We start from the raw sequence: 12,866 nt of genomic DNA on the forward strand, positions 1-12,866 counted from the left end.
CTGCAAACTGAGAAATTAAGTGTTTTGTTTAACAAGGAGAATGATTCTATTCACAGGACAGTGCTCTTGCACAATCAGGAAAATGTGTGTATTTGTGAGTGTGCACCTGTGGGGATGTGTTTTCTAATTGTGAATTTATAGTGAACTGCTCTGTAAATTATCAATTGTGACTAAGATTCACATATGTGCTCTATCCAAGTAATGCTCTTAGATTAGGACCAGAAACTCCATTACTAATCCTGTACACATCCATTATTTTTCATTAACATGTGAGATATTTTTTCTTCACTTTGATTATCTGAATCTTTCAAACAAAAATTTTTACTTGTAATATAGGAATAACATGGTCATTTGTAACTCAGAGAGTTGTCGTAAGTCTGCAATAAGGTAACAAATGCACAGTGATGTTTTATGTATCATAAATCACCTTATACAATAAGCTACTATTACTATTTTATATTTATATTGTTCAACTCAAAGGCAATATAAAGTAGTAGTTAAGAGTATAAACTCTAGAGCCACACTACCTGAATTCAAATCCGAACTTCACCACTTTGGGCAAGAGACTTGAACTTAGAGTGGTTCATTTTCCTCATCTCTAAGTTGAGGATAATAATAATACCCTTCTCAGATGGCTGTTTTTAGAATTAAATGATTTCATTTATGAAAAGTACTTATAACAATGCCTGACATAAAATAAATGATATGTAATTATTTGTATTGTTTTTATTGTCTTCTTTCTTAAAGCTGATACATTGAGTTCTACTTTTTACAGTCATTTCAGGATTGGTGATTACAGCTTGCACCACACTGTCATGCCTTGTTATATGTTGTCCTAAAATTATATCATTGGGTGAATTATTCATGTCTTCATGTCTTATTTTTGCATGTGAATTATCTGGTCCAATGGAGTTAGGTAATTCTGTCTGCATTTTGTTATTTCCCAAAGGAACTAATAATTCTCTCTCATATGAATTAAAACCTCTCTTCCATTATATTTCACTTATATATTGGTTTCTGCCAGTCATTTTGTAGTTTTTATCTTGACAGAAAAGCATTCAAATTTGCCAGACTACATTGATGTACATTTGGTGTACAGTTCAAAGTCTAGTTTTAAATCTGAAGGACTTTACACAGTGAATAATAGCTAAGGTTGTTGAGCCTCCATGAAAAGATATTCAAAGTTTAGTTCTGTCAGACCAACGTGGCTACTGATGTCATAGATAAGATTATACAAACATCTTCAAAAAATCCACACCTCAAACTTTTACTTTGAGGAAGAGTGTCAATTCTTGGCAAAAATGAGCAAACACACAGTTACACACACACACACACACACACACACACACACACTCCAAAATGAAAACAAAAAGACATTAAACTGAACTTTCAAACAATCATTTCAAGATAATTTCCTAAAAATCTGACCTGAAGCTTTTGTGATTATGAAGCATATTTTTCAAGGTAGTAAGATATATTTTAATATTTTAAAGATATTCTTTAACATTTTTAGCTTGTTTAGTAACTCTTAAGTATTAGACATATGATATTTATATATTTAGACATATGATAAATTGGCCTCCTTTTGAACTCTCATTGTGTTAAAATTGTTTACTTTTTTAAAAATAAATCTTTTATTTCTAAATAGAAATAGAAATAAATTTTCTTTTAAAATTCTATGATAGTAGAGGCGTATAAAATAAATCTTTAAAAATTTAACATATTTTAGATTCAGAGGGTACATGTGCAGGTTTCTTACATGGGTATATTGCATGATGCTGAGGTTTGGGGTACTGTTGATCCCATCACACAGGCAGTGAGCATAATGCCCAATAGGTAGTTTTTCAGCCCTTCTTCCCTCCCTTCCCCCTCTAGTAGTCCCCAGTATCTATTGTTCCCGTCTTTAGGTCCATGTGCACCCAATATTTAGCTCCCACTTGCATTTCTGTATTAATTTACCTAAGATAATGGCCTCCAGCTGCATCCATGTTTCTACAAAGGACATAATTTTGTTCATTTTCATGACTGCATACCATTTCATGGTGTATATGTACCACATTTTCTTTATCCAGTCTGTCATTGATGGGCATCCAGATTGATTCCATGTCTCTGCTATTGTGAATAGTGTTGTGATGAACATATGCATCCATGTGTCTTTACAGTAGAATGATTTATATTCTTTTGGGTTTGTACTCAGTAATGGGATTGCTGTGTTGAATGGTAGCTCTGTTTTAAGTTCTTTGAGAAATTTTCAAACTGCTTCCCACAGAGGCTGAACTGATTTACATTCCTACCAGCAGTTTATAAGCATTCTTTTTCCTCCACAACCTTCTCAACATCTGTTATTTTTTGACCTTTTAGTAATCACTATTCTAACTGGTGTAAGATCATATCTCATTGTGGTTTTCATTTGCATTTCTCTAATGATTATTGATGATGTTGAGCATTTTTTATATGCTTGTTGGCTGCATATATGTCTTTTTTTGAGAAGTGTCTGTTCATGTCCTTTGCCCACTTTTTAATGAGGATATTTGTCATTTGCTTGTGAATTGTTTAGGTTCCTTATAGATTCTGGATATTAGACCTTTGTCAGATGCATAATTTGAAATTATTTTCTCTGTCATTGGTTTAATTTGTTAATGATAGATAACTGGGGTATTAACATGGATAAAATTTGTAAGAAACTGATATCAGAGAGAAATGCCATGCTATATCCACATTGTGGTGTTTTATAAGTATTAATAAGTAGTTCTCTTTACAATAATAAATTCACTCATTCAACAAATATTTATTGTGTTTCACCTATGTTTACACACCCTTACATGTACTGAAGGTAGAGCAATGAAAAAAAATTTAAAAAGTACTTGCTTTGAGGAACTTATATTCTAGTGAGGGAGGTGAATAACAAACAATAAACAGGTAAATATATTATGGAGTCATTTAGTAATAAATGCTATGGAGAAAAATAAAGCAGGAAGGGGAAATAAAGTTCTGATAGAGGGAATTGCTGGTTCAGGGAAAACCTTTATTAGACAATGTCAATTGAACAGAAGCCTGGAAAAAATGAGGGAGAAACTGTGCTGATAGATGGGTGTGAAGCATTCCAGGCAGAGGCTACAGTGGTGCAAAGGTCATGAGATGAGAGTAGGATAGGGATATTTAAGGAACAGGATGATGGAGGGAAGTAGGCAAGGGAAGAAGGGTAGGAAGTGAGATCAGAAAAGGTACTGGGCTACACGGCACCATGGTCTTTGTAGGGCATTACAAAGACTTTGACTTTTTTGTATGTGAGATGGAAAGCTACTGGGGTTTTGAGCAGAGGAATGATATGATCTGTATAAAGTTTAAGCAATACATTTGGCTGATACTGGACATATTAAAAGATGGGAAATCTATAGGCTGAAAAATTTGAATGGCCGAGTTGGGCAAGGGTTCAGTCTGGGAGGCATTCAATGCAAGCAAGAATTGTCATTGTCATTTTAGATATTCTTTAAGAATAAGCAAAATTTTTAGAAGGGTTGATAGGTATTAAGGTGTCAATGTGCTATGCCTTCTCAAATTATTACATGTTATACCAACATCCTTATAAAGAATAATATTTTTTCTGAAAGGGAAAGTATGCTGGGTATAAAAGGCTTGGAATAAAGATTTTCTGATGTTCTTAAACACAGTAATAATATATCAAGCCAAATAAATTACCACTTTTTCTTTAATTTTTCTGATGGGAGAACAAATTGAATCTACACTAACTTTAAGAGACCTATAAATTCTATCAGAGAAGTCAAGAAATAAAATATTAATAAAATTACAATTTAAATATGGATTTTGTAAGAAGATGATCATGAGATGTGACCAAATTTATATGCACAATTAAAAGCCTAATTTGGGTCATTGTTTCATTTTCTGTGGCCTTTACAGTATTAATGCTGCAATAGAAAAAGAAGATTCAAGTTAATTCAGTAGAGAGTCAAACGCTGGCCACTGTAAATACAACTCTTGATTACTTCATTGGTAAAGGTAAATCATTGTGAAAGATTTCTGACAAAATCAGAATCCCCTTTTCCTGCTTAACCTTGCCCTTTCCCTTTCTTTTTGTATTGTGAGAATCAATACCTCCAATATTTGGTGCTGAAATATTAATTTCCCATGTCATAAAACATCCCAGTCTCTTCAGCAAATTTTAAGTTCTCTAGTGTGATTGTGGCTTACTAGAGATTGTGGCTTATTGATTCTGTGTTATTGTTCATTACATGTAAATATTGTGATGATGTTTAAGATGATAAGGTACTAAATAAATAAAAGTTTTGATTACTTACTCTTTATAGTTGATGCTGAGTTATAATTATTCGGGTATAGATCTGCTTAGTTGAGCAAATTAAAACCACTAATTTCCTTGAAAATGTAGAATGATTTTAGACAGATATTCTTCCACACATCTTTAATAGCATCTTATTTTGTTACTTATGTCTCAAGGAGCTAACAAATAATCTTTTATTAAATTTTTGATCTCAGGCACAGTGCTGGGTGCTTAGGAGAAGAAATGAATCACAGGTCCTTGCTCTTTAGGCACTTGTTGCATAACACAAAGGAACCATTTTTCTAAGATTCAAGGTTTTTCTTTTGCTATTTATAATTTTAAAATTCTGTTGAAGAATTAAATTTAATTAGCATTAATGAGAACCCACTTTTTCTCAGGGCCTTCCTTGGTTCAAGGGAGTATAAAAAGACACACTCCCTATTCTCATGGAGGTAACCATGGCTGACTAGAGAACAACATAGGGTGACTCTGGTTGATCCTGAGAGTGGATGATGACTGAATAATGCAGGAGCTCAGAAAGAGGTAGGACCATTATGGTTTTTGCTTGGTCAGCAGTCATAAGGACATGGTTCTAGAACTATAGTCTGAAGTATGAGAAGTCTGTGAAATGTAAGGAAAGCATTTCAGAGATTGAGTCTATTGAGAATAAGAAACCTTCGCTACACTTGGATGTGGTAAAAATAGATGGGGTTATATAAGCACCATAATGAGTAATAAGTGCCTTGATATTACCCCACTCCCCCTACCATTCTCCCAGCCTTGCAGTGAACTGACTGCTGAATTATATATTTTCTTTTTTGGTAAAAAATTAAATAGTTATTTTTGCATCAGGGAGATATTGCAGAAGTTTTCACCCATCATTCGTCACTTTCCTCTGACTTAAAAATATGGAGCACAAGTTATCCTGACCGCCTTTCACTTAATAACAACGCTTTGTAAAAACACTTTTTGTCTGAGCAACTGCTCAGATACAGAGCATAGAGTATAAGTATTGTTCCAAGCAACGCACTTCTTGCAGAAACTGGAGGGAAGCCAAGAGAAAAATCAATCACAATTATTTTGAAATGAAGTTTCACAGTGTTCTCCTTACATTATTATCTATGAGTTTCCTAAGATCACTGACAATGTCTTACTCACTGTTGATTCCCTTGTCACCCAGAACTGTGTCCAGCAAATAATATGATGTAAATGTTTGTAAAATGTATAAATAAGTAATAAGTAAAATTGACATCCATGCCAGGAAATCCAAACATTTGTCCTTTCACTCATTAACTATATCTGATCTTTTTCTCTCATATAGTTTCAAATATGGAAATATCTGTCAAAATATCTGCCATGTCCTTTTTTTTTTTTTTTTTTTTTTTGAGACAGGGTTCTCACTTCGTCACCCAGGCTAAAGTATAGTGATGCAATCTCAGCTCACTGCAGCTTCCACCTCCCAGGCTCAAGTGATCCTCCCACCTCAGGCCCCCCAAGAAGTTGGGACTACAAGTGCGCATGCAACCATGCCTGGCTAATTTTTGTATTTTGGTAGAGACAGGGTTTTGCTATACTGCTCAGGCTGGTCTTGAACTCCTGAGCTCAAACGATCTGCCTACCTTGGCCTCCCAAAGTGCTAGGATTACAGGTGTGAGCCACTGTACCTGGCCTGTCATGTTCTTAATGCCTGAAGTCTTCATGATTTATATTAGTGTCCCACAAAGTAAACACTGGAATAAAAGATCTGTTCACAGGATGAATTTTAAATTTCAGATTTCAACCTCTGAAATCTGATATGGTGGCTGGCTGGTGGTGGACTTCATATTTTGGAGAAAAGATTAAGCAGGAGATCCCTACCAGCCCCCATTACTACCACAAACATCGACAGTCCTTCCTACAGGAGAATCCTGCAGTCCTCACAACCCCGGATCTCAGTTTGGAGAGCTGCCAGGAATTCACACAGCTGCACTGCCCTAGATGAGGAGCACAAAGTGCATACTTTCCATCCCACACCCACCGGTTGTGAGCCAAGCCACTGCAGCATGATACCATCTTAAGACAGACACCTCTGGAGTGCATCTTTCTTAGGGCAGTAGCCACTGCATCTTTCCAGCAATGGGGCTCCACCTTCATTATGCCAAGCCCAGGTTAGTGGCTGAACATCACAACCCCAACTGTGCAGAGACTGGGCCTGGAATCAGCTATGATTCTGGTCCTAAACAGCAGGAAAACCAACTTCTGCTACTCTCACTTCCAGCCAGAGGAAAAGTATGGCAGTCCCACCCAAGGCAAACTTACCCTCACCCTAGAGCTGGTCAAACCACTGTGCACCTTCCCCTAAGAGGCCTCTGAGTCTCCAAGCAGATGACATGCCACAAAGCCAGCAAAGAGCTATATGCCTGGGCTCAGGACCTGAGAAACAGTCCCATAGTGCCCCTGCCCCCTCTGCAAACATGCCCTGGTCTTCCCAATGGTTCTGCACCCCGAGTAAGGTCCTGAGAAACAGTCCTACAAGCCATCACCGGCAGGTATGCCCCTGGGCCAGCCAAGCAACCAAGAGCTCATGACCTGGATCAGAGAAACAATCCTGTGGTCTACCTACAGTGGGCACATCCCTGAGCTGGCCAAGTAACCTTGCACATGCATCCCAGACATGAAAAACATCCCTGTGGCCAACCCCAGTGGGTGTAAGCTTGAGGCAGTCAAGCAGATTGGTACCTATGTCCCAGACCTGAGAAACAGCTTTGTGGGCCACCCTCCAACAGGCACATCCTCGCAGGCTGGTCAAGCTGCTGTATGCCCAAGTCCCAAGTTCAAGAAAGAGCCCCATGGGCCCCCTCTGGTGGGCAAACCCGCAGCTAACCAAGCAGCTCTGTATCTACGTCCTGGGCCTATACAATAGCCCCATGGGCCACATTCGGCAGATATACCCCTAGGCCAGTTGAGCATCCCTGCACCTGCATACCAGGCCTGAAAACAGCCCTGCAGATTGCAATTGGTGTTCATACCCCATCACCAAGTCTAGCCAAGCAGCTTTAGCTCATGTCCTAGGCTTGAGAAACAGGCCTGTGGGCCGACCCTGACAGACACATTTCTAGGCTGGCCAGCAGCTATGTGCCCATATTCTGGGCCTGAGAAATAACCCTCTAGGTCGCTCCTACCAAATGTGTCCCCAGGGTAGTGTACCAACCATGTGCCCTTGCTCATGGCCACAGTAACATCCCCAGGGACTAAACCCTGGAGAGCCAGACCCCAAGTTGGCCTAACCACTGTGTGCACACATTCATCCCTGACCTGAAAAATAGCACAGTGAGTATACCTATGGCAAAGCCATACTATTATTGCCACAGTCTCTCTTATCCTAGGCCACTGAGAAATTCACAAATGCCAGTAATGTGGATTATAGCTGAAGAAACTACAGAGACTACACTACTATAGTAGGCCAGTGCACCCCACCAAACCAATACCCTAAGACCTATTCATACAAATAAGCATTTTCTAAAAAACCTGCTCCATGAAATTGAAAGAAGTCACTTTCCCACCAAATTCATAGATACTAACATATGGTGTGGTGACTACTCAAAGATCTAGAAGCAAAAATACCATTTGACCCAGCAATCCCATTACTGGAAATATAACCCCCAAAATATAAATTATTTTATTACAGAGACACATGCATGTGTATGTTCATTGCAGCACTATTCACAATAGCTATGACATAGAATCAACCTAATGATTCCATGTCAGCCCATCAGTGATAGACTGGGTAAAGAAATTGTGGTACCTATACACCATGACATACTATGCAGCTGTAAAAAGAAACAAGACCATGTCCTTTGCAGGGACATGGATGGAACTGGAAGCTGTTATCCTCAGCAAACTAACGCAAGAACAGAAAACCAAAATAATGAGAACATGTGGATACATGGAAAGGAAACAGCACACACTGGGGCCTTTCAGGGGATGTAGGGGTAGGGAGAGCATCAGGAAGAATAGCTAATGGTTGCTGGGCTTAATACCTAGGTGATGGGTTGATCTGTGCAGCAAACCACCATGGCACACGTTTACCTATATAACAAACCTGCACATCCTGCACATGTACCCCAGAACTTAAAATAGAAGTTGAACAAAAAAAAGAAAATAACATAGGGACACATCAACTATGAAAAAATGTCACCTCCAAAGAAAAACAATAATTCTCCAACAGACACTAATCATAAGGAAATATATAAAAAGCCAGAAAAATAATTTAAAATAATAACCTTCAGGAAAATCAGTGATATACAAGAGAACATGTGTACACAATTCAATGAAATCAGGAAAAAAATTATGATTTGAATGAGAAATTCAACAGAGATAGCTATCGTACAAAATAGTCAAACAGAAACCTAGAGCTAAGTAATTTAATGAATGAAATGAAAATACAATAAGAGCTTCAACAAACTAGACATAGCAGAAGAAAGAATTTTTGAACTTGAAGACAAGTCTTTTGAAATAACACAAGCAGACAAAAAAGATAAAAGAACACAAAGGAATGAAAAAAGCCTATGGGATTTATGGGACACCATTAAACACATTAAGTTGAGAAAGAAAGAAAGAAAGAAAGAAAGAAAGAAAGAAAGAAAGAAAGAAAGAAAGAAAGAAAGAGCAAGCAATTCACATTATTCACATTCCAGAAAGAGAAGAGAAGGAAAAGAGAAGAGAAGGAAAACATATTTAATAAAATCATAGCAGGAAGCCTCCCAAGTCTTGGGATAAAGAGAGGCCTCCATGTTTAGGAAGCGCAAAAACCTCAGATAGATTCAACCCAAACAGGCCAACAGCATGAAAACATGCAAAACTATAAAACTCACTGGTAGAGCTGATACACAAAAGAGAAAGAAAAATAAATAAATCCTACCACTACGGAAAACCACACAGCTGTAAAAATAAGCAATAACAGAGAAAATAGGGAAGAAAGGATATACAAAATAACCCAAAACAATCAATAAAATCACAGGAATAAGTCATTACCTATCAATAATAACCCTGAATTTAGATAGACTAAATTCCCATCTAAAAGATATGGACTGGCTGAATGAATATAAAAATCAGACCTGACTATATTCTGCATACGGGAACCTCACCTCACCTTAAAAGATACACAGACTGAAAGATAAGGGATGGAAAAGTATATTCCATACAAATAGAAACCAAAAACACGTGAGAACAGTTATATCAGACAAAACAGAATCCAAGTTAAAAGCAGTAAAAAGAGACAAAGAAATTATAAAGTAATAAAGGAATCAATCCAGCAAGAGAATATAACAATTGTAAATATATATGTACCCAACACCAGAGCACCCGATATATAAAGCAAATATTGGATCTACAGGGATAAATAACTGCCAATAAGATAATAGCTGAGGAATTCAACAGCCCACTCTCTGCATTGGACAGATCATTTAGATAGAAAATCAACAAGAAACATCAGATTTAAATTGCACATTATACAAAATGGATCTAACCAATTTACAAAACATTTCAACCAACAGCTGTCAAGTACACATGCTTTTCCTCAGCACGTAAGAATTTTCATCAGCACATCAGCAATTTTCCAGAACTGACTGTATGTTAGAATATGAAACAATATTCAATAAATTTTTAAAAATTGGAATTAAACCGAGCAGTTCCAAGATGGTCGAATAGGAACAGCTCCAGTCTACAGCTCCCAGTGTGAGCAATGCAGAAGATGGATGATTTCTGCATTTCCAACTGAGGTACCAGGTTCATCTCACTGGGCTTGTTGGACAGTGGGGGCAGGACAGTGGGTGCAATCAACTGAGTGTGAGCCGAAGCAGGGCGAGGCATCGCCTCACCCGGGAAGTGCAAGGGGTCAGGGAATTCCCTTTCCTAGCCAAGGGAAGTGGTGACAGATGGCACCTGGAAAATCGGGTCACTCCCACCCTAATACTGCGCTTTCCCAACGGTCTTAGCAAACGGCACACCAGGAGATTATATCCGGCTCCTGGCTCGGAGGGTGCCACACCCATGGAGCCTCACTCATTGCTAGCACAGCAGTCTGAGATAGAACTGCAAGTTGGCAGCGAGGCTGGGGGAGGGGCGCCCGCCATTGCTGAGGCTTAAGTAGGTAAAAAAAGTGGCTGGGAAGCTTGAACTGGGTGGAGCCCACCGCAGCTCAAGGAGGCCTGCCTGCCTCTGTAGACTCCACCTCTGGGGGCAGGGCATAGCCAAACAAAAGGCAGCAGAAACCTTTGCAGACTTAAATGTCCCTGTATGACAGCTTTGAAGACTCTCAGCACAGAGTTTGAGATCTGAGAGTGGACAGACTGCCTCCTCAAGTGGGTCCCTGATCCCCGAGTAGCCTAACTGGGAGACACCCCCAAGTAGGGGCAGACTGACACCTCACACAGCCAGGTACCCCTCTGAGACAAAGCTTCCAGAGGAAGGATCAGGCAGAAACATTTGCTGTTCAGCAATATTTGCTGTTCAGCAATATTTGCTGTTCTGCAGCCTCCACTGCTGATACCCAGGCAAACAGGGTCTGGAGTGGATCTCCAGCAAACTCCAACAGACCTGCAGCTGAGAGTCCTGACTATTAGAAGGAAACTAACAAACAGAAAGGACATCCACACCAAAACCCCATCTGTACGTCACCATCATCAAAGACCAAAGGTAGATAAAACCACAAACATGGGGAAAAAACAGAGCAGAAAAGCTGAAAATTCTAAAAATCAGAGCACCTCTCCCCCTCCAAAGGAACGCAGCTCCTCGCCAGCAATGGAGCAAAGCTGGATGGAGGATGACTTTGACGAGTTGAGAGAAGAAGGCTTCAAGACGATCAAACTTCTCCGAGCTAAAGGAGGAAGTTTGAACCCATCGCAAAGAAGCTAAAAACTTTGAAAAAAAATTAGACAAATGGCTAACTAGAATAACCAGTGTAGAGAAGTCCTTAAATGAACTGACGGAGCTGAAAAGCAAGGCATGAGAAATACGCAACGAATGCACAAGCTTCAGTAGCCGAATCGATCAACTGGAAGAAAGGGTACCAGTGATTGAAGATCAAACGAATGAAATGAAGTGAGAAGAGAAGTTTAGAGAAAAAAGAGTAAAAAGAAATGAACAAAGCCTCCAAGAAATATGGGACTATGTGAAAAGACCGAATCTACATCTGAGTGGTGTCCCTGAAAGTGACAGGGAGAATGGAACCAAGTTGGAAAACACTCTGCAGGATATTACCCAGGAGAATTACCCCAACATAGCAAGGCAGGCCAATATTCAAATTCAGGAAATACAGAGAATGCCACAAAGATACTCCTCAAGAAGATCAACTCCAAGACACATAATTGTCAGATTCACCAAAGTTGAAATGGAGGAAAAAATGTTAATGGCAACCAGAGAGAAAGGTCGGGTTACCCACAAAGGGAAGCCCATCAGACTAACAGCAGAACTCTCGGCAGAAACTCTACAAGCCAGAAGAGAGTGGGGGCCAATATTCAACATTCTTAAAGAAAAGAATTTTCAACCCAGAATTTCATATCCAGCCAAACTAAGCTTCATAAGTGAAGGAGAAATAGAATCCTTTACAGACAAGCAAATGCTGAGAGATTTTGTCACCACCAGACCTGCCCTAAAAGAGCTCCTGAAGGAAACACTAAACATGGAAAGGAACAACCAGTACCAGCCACTGCAAAAACACGCCAAATTGTAAAGACCATCGAGGCTAGGAAGAAACTGCATCAACTAATGAGCAAAATCACCAGCTAACATCATAATGACAGGATCAAATTCACACATAACAATATTAACCTTAAATGTAAATGGGCTAAATGCTCCAATTAAAACACACAGACTGGCAAATTGGATAAAGACTCAAGACCCATCAGTGTGTTGTATTCAGGAGACCCATCTCATGTGCCGAGACACACCTAGGCTCAAAATAAAGGGATGGAGGAAGATCCACCAAGCAAACAGAAAACAAAACAAGGCAGGGGTTGCAATCCTAGTCTCTGATAAAACAGACTTTAAACCAACAAAGATCAAAAGAGACAAAGAAGGCCATTACATAATGGTAAAGGGATCAATTCAACAAGAAGAGCTAACTATCCTAAATATATATGCACCCAATACAGGAGCACCCAGATTCATAAAGCAAGTCCTTACAGACCTGCAAAGAGACTTAGACTCCCACACAACAATAATGGGAGACTTTAACACCCCAGTGTCAACATTAGACAGAACAACAAGACAGAAAGTTAACAAGGATATCCAGGAATTGAACTCAGTTCTGCACTGAGTGGACCTAATAGACATCTACAGAACTCTCCACCCCAAATCAACAGAATACACATTCTTCTCAGCACGACATCACACTTATTCCAAAATTGACCATATAGTTGGAAGTAAAGCACTCCTCAGCAAATGTAAAAGAAAAGAAATTATAACAAACTGTCTCTCAGACCACAGTGCAATCAAACTAGAACTCAGAATTAAGAAACTCACTCAAAACCGCTCAACTACATGGAAACAACAACCTGCTCCTGAATGACTACTGGGTACATAATGAAAT

Source organism: Homo sapiens, chromosome 3 (assembly GCF_000001405.40).
Source record: "Homo sapiens chromosome 3, GRCh38.p14 Primary Assembly".
NCBI lineage: Eukaryota > Metazoa > Chordata > Mammalia > Primates > Hominidae > Homo > Homo sapiens.